Here is an 18,888-nt window from a genome sequence, read left to right as displayed (position 1 = left end):
ATTATTTTCTGTTATTAATTACACCTTATCCATTCTACATGTGCTGCACTCGTCTTAGATAAAGTTACAGTTCTATTTTATTAGGAAGCCTCCAGGATCATGTAAAGGGGGATTTTGGATTGAGACAAAGGAAATCGCAGGATGGGGAAAGGGCGGGGGGTCAGGGGTTCATTTGTTCTCCTGCTCAGAAGCCAAGCCAGGCTTCTCCTCTGCCATTTCCAAGACTGAATCTGCACATTCTTGAAATAGCTCATCCTGCAAATGCTAAATGAACCTGGTCCCTAACCAACTCAGTCCTGAGCAGGCTTTGGGAGAAGAGAAGGAAAGGAGAAGGCAGTGAAGGAGAACAAGTGGGGTAAACCACCAGCCAGGCTGCTGCTGAGTTCAAAGACAAAAGTGAGGCCAGCCAAGGGGAAGACTTGAAAGTTCAAGTTCAAATCTGTGTCACCCCTGCCTGCCTTGCAATGGGTAGCTGCCTGCAGGGATTCTTACTGAACTTGGAGCTCCCATGAGGGAGGAATAGGCCTGGGGATGGAGTGCTGGTTGGTTATAGGCAGAGGGAAGCCCTCGTGGTTAGACAGAAAGGACCCTTGAGCCCCATCACCCCTGGCTAACAAGGAGAGAAAACTGTCCATTGTGGGAAACAGGGACCAAGACTCCCCAGACCAAAGAGGTTGCAAAATGGCAGGGTGGAAAGGGGATTGTAAGAGCGTAGAATGCAGCCAGAATAAAACTCCAGGACTAAAAAAAACCTAGATTTGAATCCTAGCACCAACCTTTTCCTTGGTTAAGTCGCTAGCTCTCTCCGAGCCTCAGTTTCCCCAATTTGGAAACAAGGAGAAATAACATCAATAATAGCATGGATAACACTACGGTCACTAACAGCAACAATTACACTAAAACCACTGCAACACACAGCAGTAAGGATAATAAGCCCTTCCTACGGTACTGTAAGATAGCATAATGAGAAGCACATCAGGACCCATAAATCATAGTGCAGATATAATTTATTGTTATTAATATGATCTGCCCTGTCCTTCCCCAGCCCCTCGGGCTGCCAGGAAAGTCTGTGCTCTGTCATCATGCACTTGAAGACAGGTTGTTTTGTCCCTTCCCTCTTCTTGTTTCTAATCACAATGTTCTAATTCTCCGGCTGAGGTTGAATTCAATTCTCAGTCAGAGCTCGATACCATATATCACCCCCTGTCCAGGATAGCGATCTGGCTTCTGTCTTCTAAGCACTCCAGAGCCGCCAAGTGCCGAGCGCTTACTATGTGCCAGGCGCGGGTTCCACTTTCAGCATTAGCAATCACATTTACGGCTCCCAGCAATGCAGCCAGAGACGTATTTGTATAATATCACCCCCATTTCACACAGGAGGAGACTAAGGTTCAGGGAACTGATCTCCTCCCAAGAATGTCTCGCTCCAAACGAGCACGTTCTTCCGCCAAAGTGCACTAACACCATGCCATCGGGTCTTTGGACAACTTGGTAAGGCAGACTCCAGCTTACTCCAATGGTCATGGTATACACAAGGAAACAAACTCAAGCAGGACCCTGCTATCTCTTGAGTTCAATTAAACATTCACCAACCCTCAACTGTGATTTCAAGGAACATGGAAGACGAGGAGGGAGGGAGGGAGCGAGGAGGCCGCCTGCATGAAGTTGGAGCATGTCTATCTGCACATCAGAATGTTTCCTGGGGGTTCCGCCAGGAATTGAGGCCTGTGGGCCCTACTGGCAGTCCTGCCAGTGAATCCAAGGCCCCAGCTCCCTTTGATCCTCTCCACAGTTCATGCCTCCCCTGAGGGAATCCCACCTTGCAGCCCTGATGTCTAACTTGTGATATCCCAGTAGTGTCCCTAAGAGCACCAGGCTAGCCGGGGGACTTTGAGGTCTGGTGACACTGAGAGGGACTCGATGTTCTGGGAGAGAAAAGACAGCCAGCTTCCTAGGGATAGAGCACCTCCATGTGCCAGATATTACCTTGCAAGTCCCCTCGCTGCTCATTCACTTGTTCCCTATATTTTTTTCTTTTTCTTTTTGAAACAGGGTCTCGCTCTGTCACCCAGGCTGGAGTGCAGTGGTGCGATCACGGCTCACTACAGCCTGGACCTCCCGGATGCTCAAGTGATCCTTCCACCTCAACTTCCAAGTAGCTAGAACTACAGGCATATGCCACCATGCCCAGCTAAGTTTTTGTAGAGATGGGATCTCACTATGCTGCCCAGGCTGGTCTCGAGCTCCTGGACTCAAGTGATCCGCCTACCTCAGCCTCCCAAAGTGCCGGGATTCCCGGCATGAGCCACGGTCTCTATTTCTCCTTATGTAGCTGAGTTTTCATGTTTCTGTTTTGCAGGTGTTGTCTGTATTTCTGACCCTCTCCTTGGCTCTGTTCTTCTGTAGAAAAGAGAATTTGTGGGTAATTCTCTCTGTCTCGCTCCCTTTTCTTTTTTCTTCTGCTGCTTCTTTCATGCTCTCAGACTTTTAAACTTTTAACCTCTATCTCTTCCCTCTCCGTCTCTCTCTTTCTCTCTCTCTCTCTGCCTGACTCTTTCATTCTTTGTCTATTTCTCCTCTGTCTGTCTCTGTCTCTCCCTCTCCTTACATGGCCTCTACCCCATCTCTGCCTATTTCCCCATATGTGGCCTGCCTGTCCATCCTCTGTCTGCCAGAGCACCGGGAAAGCCCAGTCATTCCACAGAACAATTAGCAGCAGCCACCAGGGAAACATGGTTCATGGTGATGAGATTCACCGCAGTCCAAAGCCCATCCAGGGCACACAGGGTTTGGACAAACCTGTCTAATACCTTCCTCACCTTCTGTCCATCACCGAAAACAAGCCTGTGTTCACAGAGGATCAGGGTCATTTCAAATAACTGAACATGTTATTAGGAGACAAAACACTGCTGACAAGGATTCCTGGGAGGTTTTTGCTATGTGGGGGGTCAACGGCCTCCATTCTCCCTGAAAGGCTTCCAGACATGCTCATCAATTTCCAATTTACTATTTAGTCCAACATTGCTGGGGGCTTCCAGGCCCACACTAGGAGGCTGGCTCTACATTTTCATGTTTTCCAGCCAAAAATGTCCCTTTGGCTAAACCTCGGAGCTCATCTACATTTTGAAACATTGTGAACCAAACCAATCCACACATATGAAGGGCCAGGGTGTCTTTGGCACAGCACCACCCCTCACCCCAACATACAGACATTTATTAGGCAAGTGTCTGCCAAGAACCCAGCATTTGCTGAGCCATTTGACTAAAATTCCTCCTTTTTAAATATTATTTGTAGAGATGGGGTCTCCCTGTGTTGCCCAGGCTGGTCTCTAACTCCTCCTGGGTCTAAGTGATCCTCTCACCTCGGCCTCTCAAAGTGCTGGGATTTAAATTCCTTATTTTAGTTTTAACTTCTCAGTGGAAGTGAATAGTATTAATTTTCTTATTGTAGACCGAAGGCTGAGATTCAGGTTAAACACAGTGACTTTTCCAAGGTCACTCACCCAGTGTGATAGCAGCCCTGCTGAACTGCTCTCTTTAACAGGCAAGAGAGAAACAGAGTAAGAAATGAGCCTGGGCCAGGCACAGCTGTGCACACCTGTAATCTCAGCACTTTGGGAGGCCTGGCCTGGGGGATCACTTGATCCCAGGAGTTGGAAAACAGCCTGGACAACACAACGAAACCCCGTCTCTACAAAAAATAAAAAATTAGCTGGGCATGGTGGTGCCCACCTGTAGTCCCAGCTACTCAGGAGGCTGAGATGGGAGGATCACTTGAGCTCAGGAAGTTGAGGCTACAGTGAGCTGTGATTGCACCACTGTCCTCCAGCCTGGGTAACAGTGCATGACCCTGTCTCAAAAAAAAAAAAAAAAAAAAGCCACACATGGTTGCTCATGCCTATAATCCTAGGACTTTGGGAGGTCGAGGCGGGTGGATCATCTGAGGTCAGTAGTTCGAGAAGAGCCTGGCCAACATGGTGAAACCCCATCTCTACTAAAAATACAAAAATTAGCTGGGCATGGTGGTACTCACCTGTAATCCCAGCTACTTGGGAGGCTGAGGCAGGAGAATCGCTTGAACCCGGGAGGCAGAGGTTGCAGTGACCGTGATCACACCATTGCACTCCAGACTGGGCGACAGAGTGAGACTGTCTCAAAAACAAAACAAAAACAAAAGTGAGAAAAGAAATGAGCCTGAGCTTTGATTATTGTTTCATGCTGATCCTCGTCTCACTGATTTTCTTTCTCCTCTCACCGATTTGCATTAGAACTGGGTTTTGTTTCTGCATTTTTGTCACTAAGCTTCCAGCACCCATCCCCGTGCAGAAACAGAATTTCTCCTCTCTAGAAAACAGCTTTTTTGGCTAGAGAAACGCTATTTTCTCCTCCATGTAGGGGCAGGAGGCATTCCGAATAGTTAGCTTTTGGAAGGCAAATTTGGCATCCGGGATTGTTTTCTGCCTTATTAAACTTTTCAGAAACTGTATCTCTTTTAAACAGCCTAAGGGGGCTCTCCCCGCATCCAGTTCCCCCTCCAAAGGACCCTCTCTATCAGCCCACACGTTCCCTCATCCCATCTGTCAGAGGCCGGAGCCAAAACATGTCCCAGGAAAGCCGGAGGAAGGGGCGAGGCAGGGAGAGAGATGTCTAATTATCATCACAGAACCTTTGAAAAGTATCTTGAGCAAATCGAGTTTGTCTAAAACGCATCCAGCGTTTAACATTTAATAGGAGCTGATCAACTTAATGCACCACATGCGATGGGTAAACGGATCCTTCCCCTTTAAGGGCCTGTTGACGTGAGGTGAAGGAGAAAAACAGTTGTTATGATTCAGAAACTCAGGATGAACCCAATTAATCAATGCTGGGATGATTTGAATCATGTGGCCAATGCTTGGTCACCTCTCTGATATCCTATCCTCAGCCCTCGGAAGATGCAGACGTGATTAATGTCACCTGTGACCACCATGTCTCCAGGCAAGACCCCCCCAAACCCGGCAGACAGAGAAACAAATTAGATCCAAAGGTACAGGATCAGTTTCAGAGGGGACAGGCCCCCAGCTGGGGAGGGGGGTGGTCTCTGGGGGTGCCTGGCCTGGCCCGTCAGTCACAGGCGGGCAGGAGATAGAGGCCAGACCATGTGGGGGCTGGGAGAGAAGGAAGGCTTAGAGATGGGGTGCTGGTAGTAAGGGCATACGACAGGCTCAAACCTCAAAGCTCAAAGTGCTCGGCTGGGGCCCTGAGCACGCCTGCATCTTTGAGGGTTTTTTTTTTTTTTTTTTTTTTTGGTATAAAAATAATTGCTCAAGCTTTTCCTCCCTCTTAGGGTTACAGTCAGTCGTGTCTGCCCTGGGCCTTGGCTGGGAGGAAATGAGTTTGAGAGAGAGAGGGTGGGTGAGTGTTAATCAGAGTTATTTTGATTGCTTTGAAAGTCTGTGCCTGTTATACATACATACACACACACACACACACACACAAATGTTTTTATCCCTACTCCAAATAGCTTCTCAAGTTCATGAATTACACAATGGGGCCTCCTCCTCTTTTTTAAATCTTCTGATTCATTCTTTTTTGTTCCTTCCTCTTTTTTGTATCTTTTATCTCCCCCTCCTCTCCTACCAACCTTCTTTCATTCATTCAACCAACATTTCTAGGAGTGCTGCAGGCACCTCCGGGGGACTTCCTGGGAAAGGAAGATAAGATTCTGGGAAAGATAAGCAGCCTAAGATAGCAAAGATTCCCATTTCCTCATTTTTCTCACCTACTTCCCAAGTCTGTGATGCCGCTTAAGTCTAAATGTCTAAAATCCTGTTTTGCAATTCCCCCGCCTCAAAGCCTTTGCTAGCCCTGCCTCCACCTGGAGCATCAACCCCGCATCCTTGGGGATAATGGACTTTTCCATCAAGGCTAGCCCCAGATGCTTCCCCATAACATCATCCTGTACCATCCAGCTATTATCAAGCTCTACCTCCTCTCAAGTCACTGGAAGTACATGCCAAGACTTTCAGAGCCTTATTTACATTGTCAGTGCTGTATCCTCAGCACCCAGCCCCTAGCATGGTGCCTGGCACATGGTGTGTGCTATAAGTATCTGTTGAATAACTGAATGAAGAGTGCTATAGAAAATTTCAGCTTGACATCATCCTGTTGACTTTTTTCTATTTTCTTTTCTTTTTTTTTTTTTTTTTTTTTTTTTTTTTGAGACAAAGTCTCACTCTGTCATCTAGGCTGGAGTGCAGTGACGTGGTCTCAGTTCACTGCAACCTCCACCTCCCAGGTTCAAGTGATTCTCATGCCTCAGCCTCCCTAGTAGCTGGGATTACCAGCACCTGCCACCACGCCCAGCTAATTGTTGTATTTTTAGTAGAGACGGGTTTTCACCATGTTGTCCAGGTTGGTCTCAAACTCCTAACCTCAAGTGATCCACCTGCCTCGGCCTCCCAAAATGCTGGGATTATAGACACGAGCTACCATGCCTGGCCCCATCCTATTGACTTTACAAATGTCCTCATTAAAAAATAATAATAAATACACCTTGTCTTTTTCCAGAAAGATTTTAAGATTATTTGCACTGCAGATTCCTAGACCAGGAGAAGTTGGATTCTATAGGTCAGGAGTGTGGCCCTGGAATCTGGGCCAGAGGGCTCTGATGCATGCACTCTTCAGAGAACTGAGGAACTCTACTGGGGACAATAGAGAACCACTGAAGGTTTGAGAGTAAGAGCATGACGCTTTCAGTTATGTGCTTAAAGAAGGGCATGCCGGCTGCAGTCTAGGAGCTTCAGTAGAGGAACCAGGGGTGGGTGGGAGAGAAGGGTTAGGAGACCACATGAGGAATAAGGATAGAAGTTCCAGAACTTTCTTGTGAGCTCCGAGGCAGAATCTTATTAAAAGAGGGTTTAGGAGACTTTGCATGGTTTACTTAGGGTATTTTAGGAGAACCAGTGGGGACTTCAGAGAGGCTAAAACCATCCCTTCCTAGGCTTTATCTCTACATGGAAGCAAGTGCCATGAAAATGGAGAAATTGGCAAATCACAAAGTTGAACTATGTGTGGGGAAGGAGTAAGTGAAAGAGAGAAAGGAAAGTTACGCCCCTTCTCTACTTTTATTTCTTCCTGTCTCCATTTCTGAAAGCCCCTCGGCGACCCCCAACGCTCCAATTCCAGCAGCACCCGCACCCCCAAACCTGCAGAGTCTGCAGAGACCAGACTCAGCTTCTCCCCTCCCCGGGTGCTCACAAGAGCATCTGGCCACGGACCCTGAGCTCTGGCCACGGCATCTGTTTGCAATGTTTGACTCGGTAGTTTTATTTCTGCTTGGCGGTATAATATAAACTATCTTGTTACACGGCAGGCAGGCTGGGCGCAGAGCCGGGACGCTCTGCAACTCTGCTGCAGAACCAAAAGTGAAGCGTAAATGAGCTGGTGGGCTTGGATGAGGCCTCCTTTGCAGTCAGAGGAAACGGCGGCTCTCCTTGAAAGTTCTCCCTGGCTTGGGCCTCTGCTGTTTCAATCCCAGTGTAGCCTCTGGCCGACCCCTGGAATCTATACCACCTACAACACCCATGAATATGCACACACACAAATAAACACACACACACCCCACCACATCTTGTCCATTTCTGGGGCCTACAGAGCTAGATGAGAAACCCTGGCTACAAGGGCGAATGTCAGTTAAAAGCTTGACTTCTGAAGTGAGCCTGTCTGCCTGTGAATTTTTGCCATATGAGCTTGGGCAAATGCCCTCCCCTCCCTGGGTCTCAGTTTCTTCATCTGTAAAATGGGCTTCACGATAATTACTCCTAAGTTACAGAGCTGTTCTGAGCCTTTTATGAGGCCGTATTTGCGAAGTGCTAAGAATAGTGCCCTGTGCGTGGTGTGCATTCAATAAATGTTGGCCATTGTTACAAACATTAGGATGTTTGAAATGAAATTCAAGAAAGACCAGCTCGCATTGGGAGCAGCAACTGGGTGTCACCATTACACTCACCCCAGCATGAAGGAAATTCACATCCTCTCAGGATGCCGGGGCAAGAACAAAAGGAAATCACACACCTTTCCCCTTTTCCCACAGGATCCCCTTTGGGGTGGGGGGCCAGTCCTCTATTTGGAAGTAGGAGACAGGTAGGCTCCCATGCCTGACTCCCCAAAGAAACAGATATTGGAGGGGAGTTATGCTGAGATTTTTTTATTTTTTGCAGAGATGGGATCTCACTACGTTGCCCAGGCTGGTCTCTAACTCCTGGGCTCAAGCAATCCACCCACCTCTGCCTCCCAGGTAGCTGGGATTACAGGCATGAGCCACCACACCCAGCCAGTTCTGAGGGTTGATGGAGGGCCAGGAATCCCCTCCCCAGCTTCCTGATTTCTCATGTCAATGGAGGAAATTCAGGTGAAGAAAGGACAGAATCTACACTCTGGGAGGCCCTGAACTTATCCCAAGCTCAGCTGCCCTTGGGTGGATGTTCTTGTTCCTGACTGTGGTGGGAGGACACACTTCTGCCCTACCACAGACCCTGTCTTTGGGCATTCCCAATGACAAAGGGGCAGTCCTTATGCCCTGGATCCAGAGGGACAGTCCTTGTGCCCAGCACCCCAGCAGCCTCCCTCTGGGAGACTGAGAGACAGCCTTCCCTTTTCTGTGTTTTTCTCTGCCTTTAATGCTCAGCCTAGAACTTGGAATATGTTAGGTGCTCAGCAAAAATGTGTGCTCACAGGAGCATGCTGCAGCAATTAAAGTGTGTATGTGTGTGTGTGTGTTGGACCTTCATGAGTGTGTGCACACATATTCGATGAGGATGCTTGTATCTTGGGGAGGTCCTATGACCCTGTGATACACGTGTGTGCATACACTCATGTCCCTACCGCTGGACATGGACTCTGTGTGCCCAATGAGTGTCTGCTTGAGGCCCTGCCTAGCCACAGACAGCCTTGGAGAGCCCACGCTCAGATGGCCACTCCAGACCTGGCAAGATGAAAATTTTAAATTGGAGATAGGGTGTTCTGGGGTGGAAGTAGGGTTATTGAAAACCGCTTAGGCTGGGTCCAGTGGCTCAAGCCATCTCAAATCTGTAAACTCAGCACATTGGGAAGACTCAATGGGAGTTCAAGGAGTTCAAGGTCAGACTGGACAACATAGCAAGACTCTATCTCTACAAAAAATAAAATAAAAATAAATTATTTTATTTATAAAAATGAAGAAAGTAGTGGCCCTCACTACTCAAGAGGCTGAGGCAGGAGTCTTGTTTGAGCTCAGGAGTTGGAGACTGCAGTGAACCATGATCACACCACTGCACTACAGCCTGGGTGACAGAGCAAGGCCCTGTCTCTAAAACAAAACCAAATGAAATTAATTTACATTGATTTGGTTTTCTGTCCACTGCTGGCCACAAATCACATTGACTAGTTCTCCCATTTCACTCTATCTCTGCTGTCTGTACCTCTGTGTGTGTGTGTGTGTGTGTGTGTGCACGCGTGCATGCACGCGCATGCCTGAGTACCCTGTCTCTATCTTTCTGCCTCCAGACCTGCCTCCATCTCTCTTTTCTGTGTTTATCTGGATCCCGCTCTCTTTTCTGCATGAGTTTGACTCTGAGTCTCCTTGCTCTCCTCCCTGCCCCATCTGTGTGGGTCCGGCAGCGTGCCCCTCCCTGCTGGCCTGTGAATCGTCACTCAGTGGCCCTGCCTGATCCAATGCAGGCCCCTTTGTTCACAGCCTACCGCCGCAAGCACTCCTCCACCCCTGCATCACCCTCCAGACCCTGCTTTCCTTTGCTCCTTCCCAAGTGGCCACCTCTCCAGCCCCTAATGTGAACAAAATGCCTGCCCGCCCTAACCAGGACAGCACTCAGGCATGGAGAGGTGGGAGGCAAGAGTCAGAGCTTGGCCACCAGCCACATGACCCCTGGGGCCATTAAGGAGACACCCCATCACCATTCCCTCTGCCCCACAATTCCTCCCCACTGCAGCTCAAAGCACCCCCAGGCAGCCCGCAGCACCTGGCAAGGGCAAGTTCGCGTTGAGGTTGGAGGCCAAATGCCTTCCCTGACTCTGGGTGGCCTTGGCCAAGTCAGTGTCCCTCTCTGAGTCTGTAACATAATGCCCAAGGCTCCACCTGACTCTAACTGGAGGGACACCGCAGTGCACCCCATGCCTCCCAGTGCCTGGTGGCATCCTTTACTCCTCCCATTTCCTGGAGCAGATGCAGAAAGCCTAAAATTTCTGTAGTGAAAAGGTCAGCTCCCCCACAGAGTCTCAAGGAATGGGAATCTCAGGATAAATCAACCCCAAAGCATCCATCAGCACATTTCTGCAGATATTGTTCACAGCTTAAATAATACCAATAATTGCAGAAACAATGGACTTCCTGGGACTCTGGCTTCGGGTGTCTGTGGTCATGTCAAGGACAGTCCAGCTTAATGCCCAATTTAGGGCTGGGAGGAAAGGGAGATGGGAGTTTTCGGGGTTTTTTTTTTGTTGTTTGTTTGTTTGTTTTGAGACGGAGTCTTGCTCTGTCACCCAGGGTGAAGTGCAGTGGGGCAATCTCAGCTCATTACAACTCTGCCTCTGGGTGCAAGAGATTCTCCTGCCTCAGCCTCCCGAGTAGCTGGGATTACAGGCGTGCGCCACCTCACCTGGCTAATTTTGTGTGTGTGTGTGTGTGTGTGTGTGTGTGTGTGTGTATTTTTAGTAGAGATGGGGTTTCACCATGTTGGCCAGGCTGGTCTCGTACTCCTGACCTCCAGTGATCCACCCACCTCAGCCTCCCAAAATGCTGGGATTACAGGCATGAACCACCCCACCCACCCAGGAGTTTTCTTCTCTCTGTCACATTGCCTCTGCATGTCCCTTTCCTTTCCCCTCTGCCTAGCTCCGATCATCTGTGTAAGTCTTTCCCTGTCTTGGGCCACTTACTAGCTGTGAATCTTAGGCAAGTGTTTTCACCTCTCTGAATCTCAGATGTTATACTATTAATTATAATACACCTGGCTCACATTAGGGACTAGACAAAGTACAGCGCTTAAATAATAACAATAATAATAATGAGGTGGAGGAAGGTGGGCTGGGTGAGGGTCTGCCGTGGACTATGTCTATGTGGGCCTAACATCAGTTTATATGCACCTAAGCTGCTGTGGTTGGGTATATATGCAGGCATTAACATGCAAAGCTTTTGGGCTTGGAGACCCTGAGCCGACACCCACCTTGAGTTCCACACCCCCAAGAAAAAGGAGGCCCCACACAAATCCCAGTGATGGGGAGACAATCTACTTCTCTTGTGGAAGCACATGTAGCCTATCCCTGGGCCGGGATCAAGAGGCCCTTTGGGTGCCTGACAAAGAAAGGGTGCTTCTTCAAAGATACAGTGAACCTCCAACTGCCATCACCCTCCAGAAGCCTGGGAGCCTCGATTTCATAGAACTTCAGGATTGAGGGACCGGTTGTGGTTGGCTCTGCTTCCTGGCTGTGGCCTCATGAGCGTCCCCGAGCATTATCACCACCAAGTGCCCGAGCAATTAAATAATCTGTACCACCATGATTTTGCATGATTTGCATGCTCCGTGTACCACCGTGATTTTGCAGAAACTGAGGCCCAAGGAGATTGAATGACTTGCATAAAGTCATAATAAGTTGAGGACAGAAGGGAAACACAGTTCTGTCTCAGGCCATACCCTTTCTTCTTCACTCAGAGCTGAGGGAAGTACCCTGGCCTGGGGTGGGGGCATGGGCAGTTATTCTCAGATCACTTGGATTCCATTTTTTTTTTTTTTTTTTTTTGAGACAGAGTCTCATCCTATTGCCCAGGCTGGAGTGCAATGCCGCAATCTTGGCTCACTGCAACCTCCGCCTCCCAGGTTCAAGCAATTCTCCTGCCTCAGCCTCCTGAGTAGCTGGGATTACAGGCATGTGCCACCACACCCAGCTAATTTTTTTTTTTTTTTTGTATATTTAGTAGAAGCAAGGCTTCACCATGTTGGCCAGGCTGGTCTCAAACTCCTGACCTCTTGACCCACCCACCTAGGCCTCCCAAAGTGTTGGGATTACAGGCGTGAGCCACCTTGCTGGCCTTTTTTTTTTTTTGAGACAGAGTCTCTCTCTGTTGCCCAGGCTGGAGTGCAATGGTGTGATCTCGGCTCACTGCAACCTCTGCCTCCCAGGTTCAAGTGATTCTCCTGCCTCAGCCTCCTGAGTAGCTGGGACTACAGGCGTGCACCACCACACTCAGCTAATTTTAGTATAGATGAGGTTTCACCATGTGATACACACACGTGTATCACCAGCCAGGCTGGTCTCAAACTCCTGACCTCAAGAAATCTGCCTGCCTTGGCCTCCCAAAGTGCTGAGATTACACTGGATTCCCTCTTGACTTAATGTAAGACCTTAGGTCATACTCCACCCCTCACCAGGCCTCAGTTTTCCCATCTAGAGGGTAGCTGGACCTACCATTCTGAGATCCTCTCATTCTGTTTTGCAACTTGCATCACAGAAAGTGAGAACCCACTTCCGCCAGAATGTGCCAAATTCACATGAAGTTAGTGCCTGCTGTAGGCCTCCTTCCTACTAGGGCAGGCAGCCCAGCCGTGCGACTGAACTAATGACTTAACCTCTCTGAGCCCCTTAAAGGAAACGATTGAAAGTCCTTACCTACAGAGCTGTTAACATAAGGGCTTAGCTTATAGTAAATGCTCAATAAATGCTGCTGTTTTTAAAACAGAGTCTCATTCTGCTACCCAGGCTGGAGTGCAGTGGCACAATCTTGGCTCATTGCAACCTCCGCCTCCTGGGTTCAAACAATTCTTGTGCCTCAACTTCTCGAGTACCTGGAATTTCAGGCATGTGCCACCATGCCCAGCTAATTTTTGTATTTTTAATAGAGACGGGGTTTTGCCATGTTGGCCAGGCTGGTCTCCAACTCCTGGCCTCAAGCAATCTGCCCACCTCGGCCTCCCGAAGTGCTGGGATTACAGGCATGAGCCACTGAGCCTGGTGTTATTATTTTTATTTTTATTTGCATCACCTGATTTCTGCCACTGCCCAGCTTTGATTACAAGACCTGCCTCCTCGCCCCCCTAGTCCAGCCTTCATCTCCTCCACTGCCCGTTTTGCCGTTGGACTAAGAGGAGATTGGGTAGGAGATAGATGGTGGACAGCCCTCAGCTTGCCGGCTGGTGCTCCAGCTAACTGCCCAAAGCCAAGGCTATCCACCCCGGAGAGGCCACCTTTGAAGTGACCGCCTTATGTAACTGCCCCATGCCTCCTCCCATCTTCCTGTTTGTCCCCAGAGCGACCTTGGGGAGGAAAACTGCAGCCTAGGACCAGTAAGCCTGGGGTTTCTTTCATGTGACTCAGGAGAGAGCTGGGAAGGGCAGAGGGATGCATATTGGTGGTTAGGGGTGCCTCTGCCTGAGTTTAAGTCCTGCAACCAGCTCTTTCTAGCTGTGTGACCTTGGGCAGGTTACTCAGCTTCTCTGTGCCTCAGTTTTCCTATCTGTCACGTGGAAAGTACCTAATGCATAAAGACATTGTGAGAAATATGTAAGTAGACAGTTTAGAACAGTGCCTGGCACATAATTACATGCTTAATAAAGGGCAGTTGTGGCTGGGCACAGTGACTCATGCCTGTAATCCCAGCACCTTGGGAGGCCAAGGTGGGAGGATCACTTGAGGCCAGGAGTTCAACACTAGCCTGGACAATATAGCGACACCTCATCTCTACTTTTTTATAACAATAAACATTATAAATATATATTAAAAAGGGCAGTTGTTATAGGTACTTAATCTTTTTTTTTTTTGTTTTCATGTTTCTTGTCAATATGTTTTCTCTGACAGGATACAATGACAGGCACCCAGTTTCTCTGGTTTGGTTTTGTTTTGTTTTAAGACAGGGTATCTCTCTGTTGCCCACTCTGGAGTACAGTGGCACAATCACAGCTCACTGAAGCTTTGACCTCCTGAGTTCAAGTAATCCTCCTGTCCCAGCCTCCTGAGTAGCTGGGACTACAGGTACAAACCACCATGCTTGGCTAATTTTTTAAATTTTTTATAGAAGGCCGGGTACACTGGCTCACGCCTGTAATGTCACTTTGGGAGGTCAAGGTGGATGGATCACTGGATGTCAGGAGTTCAGACCAACCTGACCAACATGGTGAAACCCCATCTCTACTAAAAGTACAAAAAATTAGCCAGCGTGGTGGTAGATGCCTGTGATCCCAGCTACTGGGGAGGCTGAGGCAGGAGAATCGCTTGAACCTGGTAGGCGGAGGTTATAATGAGCTGAGATGGCGCTACTGCACTCCAGCCTGAATGACAGAGCAAGACTCCGTCTCAAAGAAAAAAAAAATAGAGACGGGATCTCACTATGTTGCCCAGGCTGGTCTCTAACTCCTGGCCTCAAGTGATCCACTACATCTACCTCCCAAAGTTCTGGGATTACAGGCAAGGGCCACAGTACCTGGCCTCTGAGTTTTAAAAGGCCATTTCCTTTGCCCTACTTGAACAACCAATAAAGACATAAGCCTCAATGGTAAAATGAAAGGGGAGTGGTATTTAATAATCGTACATTAAGCTGTAAGATAATTATTGTTATTCAGAGCACTTGCTCAAAAGTGGACTTAGATCTTAGAAGGGTGGCTGAGAAACTAACCTCATCAGTCAGCCTCAATGTCTCCCACCTGTAAAATGGGGTTAACACCTAGCCACAAAACTGGCTGAAAATTGAAGGAGGCAGTCTGTGGAAAGAACAGAGCTGGACACTTACTGAGTGCTGAAGCTTACTTCAGTTGGATCATTCCCTGTGTGTCTCCACTGTCCTCCTTCCCAAGACTTCTCTTTTTTTTTTTTTTTGAGATGGGAGTCTGGCTCCCTTGCCCAGGTTGAAGTGCAGGGGCACAATTTCGGCTCACTGCAACCTCTGCCTCCTGGGTTCAAGCGATTCTCCTGCCTCAGCCTCCCGAGTAGCTGAGACTACAGGCACATGCCACCACACCCGGCTAATTTTTGTATTTTTAGTACAGAGGGGGTTTTACTATGTTGTCCAGGCTGGTCCCGAACTCCTGACCTCAAGTGATCCTCCCGCCTCTGCCTCCCCAAGTGCCAGGATTACAGGCGTGAGCCACCGCGCCCGGCCCCCTTCCCAAGACTTCTAATGTGGGTTACGGAATGTATACACACACACACACACACACACACACACACGCACACACACGCCCACCATAACCCTTGAGAAGAGCGGTCGTAGGGGCATTTATTCCGGTGTTTCACCTCCCCTCCCGCTTTTCGGCCTCCCAAACAGTCTGAAGGCGGCTGCTGAAAGGCTCCAACCCACCGGAACTCTCGGAGTAACCGCCTCCGCCTCCCCTCGCGGGTGTAGACCGAGACTCGCGCGGACGGGAGGGAGGAAGAATGTTTGCTTAGCCTTCAAACGACTTGGCAGGCAACAAGAGGGAAAAGGCCGCTCTGGGGAGAGTTCAAATTGAAATTACACGGAGGGAAGAACGTGCAGATCAGCGCTGAAGCTCATAAAAAAAAAAAAAGCGAGGTGACTGAGAAGAACAAACACGCCTCCAAAAGGAAAATGGAAAAGTTCTTAAAATGAGCTCTTCAAAGCCTAGCCAGGGGGCGCGGGGGAGGAGGAGGGCAGTGGCCGCCGGGCAAGGCCGCTGCCCCCTGGGCCTATCCGCCTCGGAGTCTGGAAGGGCGAAATTGGCCCAACTTGCATTTCCTCTAACCCGGGAGGTTGAGCGCCCCTAGCCCCCTCCTCCGAAGCGCTTCTCCTGCTGGAAACCAGAGGGAGTAGGAAGAGTGGCCCAGAGTTCGAACCTAAGCAGAGCCGGTGGTGGCGGGGACGACGTTCCCAGCGGGAAGTCGCGGGCAGGGACAAAGCTAAGTCCTGAGAAGTAGGCCGAGGCTAGATCATTCGTTCGTTGGACATCGGGCATCGTTTGGGTTTTATTCAAACCGTTGGAAAACCTTGAAGTTCTAGGCAGGGGAACAGCACCACGTGATTGGATCCTCCAGAGTAGAATCTAGACAGTCCCCCTCCAACCCACTCCCAACTCCCCACAACTCTCCCAGCATCTCCACCTCCTCCCACTTGGAAGAAGGATGAGATCGATGAAGCTCACGCGGTGCGCTCTGCAGACCTCGGCTGGGAAAGCCCAGCGCACCCCTAGGCGCACGGGGAAGCGTCCACCAGAACCGCCTCTGGCTCCCCGGGTCGAAGTCCCCACCCTCAGCCTCCTTGTACAATTCATTAACTTTGCAGACACCCGTTTTATTCGCCGGATCATTCCCGGACGCTTTAGAGAAAAGCCTGGGCATTAACCTCACGGCCCGCGCGCGCTGCCCGACGTCACCCCAAGTGGAGGATTCTCGGAAAAAATCAACCGCGCCAGCTCCCGAATCCCGGCAGCCCCTCGCCCGGGTGTGCCAGAGTCGACTTCTCTCTCTCTCTCGGTCTTAGTGGACCTGAGAGAGAGAAAGAAATTTTCTATAAACCACTGAACTGGGGCAGTGCCGGAAATTGTCCCGACCCGGTACTCTGTAGCTTCCAAGGTGCTTCCAACCCCATTCGCGCCGCAAGGATCCCACAAGATCGGGAAAACCGAGGCTTGGGAAGGGTTGGGTGCCCCAAAGGCAGGCTGCTTGGAAGAAACGGAGCCGACCTGAACCCCGCGTTTGCAGGTTTCAAATCGCGGCGCGTTTTGAGAGGCCTTTCTGACCCCTCAGAATTATTAGTTCGAGCCCCCTGGTCTATCCTGCTCGGAAATTCGGCCTCTGATCGAGGAAGCCCTGTTGGGAAGAGGGCTGGTTATTCCCTTGTCTTCCTTCTCACCGCCCCTACTCCATCCACTCTCTTTCCCCTTCTCCCCTTCTGAGTTTGTTACCATTTCTTGGTCAAAGCCCCACAACATAGATGCAAGGAGATGAAAACCCACAATTTCTCACTCCAGAGCCTGCGCCTGCGTTCACTGCATCAGGGTTCTCGAACCTTAAGGAGCTCACAATCACGTGGGGGCTTTGTTAAAACAGGAATTCTGGGCCCCGCTCCCGGACACCTCATTCAATTGGTCTCAGCTGGGCCTGAGAATGCGCATTTCTAACCGGTTCCCGGGGTATGTTTTGGGAAGGACTGCTCTGTGTGTTGCGTTGATGCCCTCTAGGTTCCTTTGTCAATAACAAAAAACCCTCTTTAGAGGAAAGTACGTCGTTCTTCTCTGTGTGTCCTCAGCACTTACACAAGGCTTGCACACCAGTGCCTAATAAATATTTGGGCTTAATCATGAACGCTTAGAGCTGTCACCGTGGTTTACAGATGTTTAGCGTGCGCCTGGCATTTTTCTGGGCACATTAGGAGTGTCTGTTTAATGCTAGTGACAACGGTGGGAGTTAAGACCCTTATTTTGACATGGATGGCTCACAATGGGGATGCCAGGAACCGGGAGAGGGAAATCGTGCCTGTACCCAGACAGATGGAAGCCAAGGTCTACCCAAGGGACAGAAACCGCTGAGTCCCGCTCCACCAACCTGGGACAAACCAGCTTAAAGGCGCTGTTCAGGAAGACTCAGCTCTCTCCGCTGGTAATGGCTGGGAAATGGCGGAATCACCTTCGTAGAAGACCTGCACCTCCAGAGTCCCTGCGCCATGGAATGTGCGCCCCTCATACCCCTAAACGTCCACCTTGCAGTGCTTTTGCCTGCCGGTCCTTGGTGGGCAAATGGAGAGACCCAGCGCCAAGCTTTCTATATGGGAATCACCCCTCAACCTTTCTGAAGGATCCAGAACCTCTCTCCAGGGCTTGGAGGCCTCGGATTCTGGAGGATTCCACAACTTAGAGTCAAGAGGGATGGCCTCTCGAAACAGTGGGGGTGACCTGGAGGATCTTAGCATTCCAGGCACAATCCTAGCCTCGCCTGGGAGAACTGCCACTCAGATGAGGGTCTTGGGCCTGGTGCTCCAGGAGGAGGGAAGAGGGTGCCCCTGGAGAGACGTGGCGCTCCCATTTTACACCCTCCAGATAGCTCTGGGGCCACGCTCCTGTGCTCCAACTCCATTGAGTCCTGCATGCAGCTCGGTGTTCCCCGGCCACATCGTAAAAAGATTTACAAGACTATGTTAAACTGGCAGTAAAAACAATTAACTTTAATGGCACCTTGGGTGGGTGGCTGGGTGGGTCAGAAGGAGGGAAGGAGGGCGGATGCTTCCTCCTCTTCGGACTGGGAATCCAGGTGAGGGAGGGGACCCGCTTTCAAGTCCCTTTTGGGTTTCTTCTATTTGCTCCTCCAGGGATCCTCCACTGGGCTCTGGAGTTCAGAGGTTCAAGGTTAAAGTGAAAAGAAGGCTGAGCATGGAGACAACAGGAGACTTCAAGTCCCACTTGACAGTTCCTGGCTAAGTGATCCTAAACAAGCCTCTTAACCTCTCTGAGACTCAGTATGCCCATCTATGCAATGAGAATTTGTAACAATAAAATCAAAAAGCCTCCTCTGTCAGGGTTGTGAAGATTGCAAGTGATAGCAATTTGGAAGTACCTCCCACCATGCCTGGCATGTATGTCTGTGTGTTTGTGTGTATGTATATACATAAAGCATTGTGTGTCCTGTGTGTGTGTGTGTATGTATGTGTGTGTATATATATACATATACATATATAAATAAAAATATATTATATATAAATATATAAATAATATATAAATATATTATATATAAATATATAAATAATATATAAATATATTATATATAAATATATAAATAATATATAAATATATTATATATAAATATATAAATAATATATAAATATATAAATACATAATATAAATATATATTATGTATTTATATATTATATTATATATAAATTAAAATATATAATATATATTATATATTATATATTTA

General features: G+C 49.0%; 2 long non-coding RNA genes and 1 other non-coding gene across 3 annotated transcripts in view, besides 2 other annotated features; 1 reads left to right on the top strand and 2 right to left on the bottom strand.

Moving 5' to 3' along the window:
- Positions 1-18,888, bottom strand: part of TBX3-AS1 (TBX3 antisense RNA 1) — an 85,697-nt gene that overhangs the window by 15,745 nt on the left and 51,064 nt on the right. The window lies entirely within an intron of this gene.
- Positions 13,086-13,380: an enhancer, noted in NCBI's record as "tiled region #2968; HepG2 Activating DNase matched - State 8:EnhW, and K562 Activating non-DNase unmatched - State 22:ReprW". NCBI's record gives its function as "activates a minimal TATA promoter and a strong SV40 promoter by Sharpr-MPRA in HepG2 cells, with weaker activity in K562 cells {active_cell/tissue: HepG2 | K562}" and the evidence as "EXISTENCE:reporter gene assay evidence [ECO:0000049][PMID:27701403]".
- LOC124900329 (small nucleolar RNA SNORA27) lies at positions 14,446-14,540 on the bottom strand. Its single transcript, XR_007063632.1, has one exon. It is a non-coding gene; the product is annotated as a small nucleolar RNA SNORA27 (small nucleolar RNA).
- Positions 15,945-16,788: an enhancer, noted in NCBI's record as "H3K4me1 hESC enhancer chr12:115173261-115174104 (GRCh37/hg19 assembly coordinates)". NCBI's record gives its function as "activates a minimal SCP1, AML or CMV promoter by ChIP-STARR-seq in naive H9 embryonic stem cells {active_cell/tissue: H9 hESC(naive)}" and the evidence as "EXISTENCE:reporter gene assay evidence [ECO:0000049][PMID:30033119]".
- LOC105369999 (uncharacterized) lies at positions 17,489-18,489 on the top strand. The gene is made up of 2 exons (XR_945379.3): positions 17,489-17,577; positions 18,284-18,489. It is a non-coding gene; the product is annotated as an uncharacterized LOC105369999 (long non-coding RNA).

Source organism: Homo sapiens, chromosome 12, assembly GCF_000001405.40.
Source record: "Homo sapiens chromosome 12, GRCh38.p14 Primary Assembly".
NCBI lineage: Eukaryota > Metazoa > Chordata > Mammalia > Primates > Hominidae > Homo > Homo sapiens.
The sequence above is the reverse complement of the archived record's forward strand: the minus strand, read 5'-3'. Positions and strand labels throughout refer to the sequence as shown.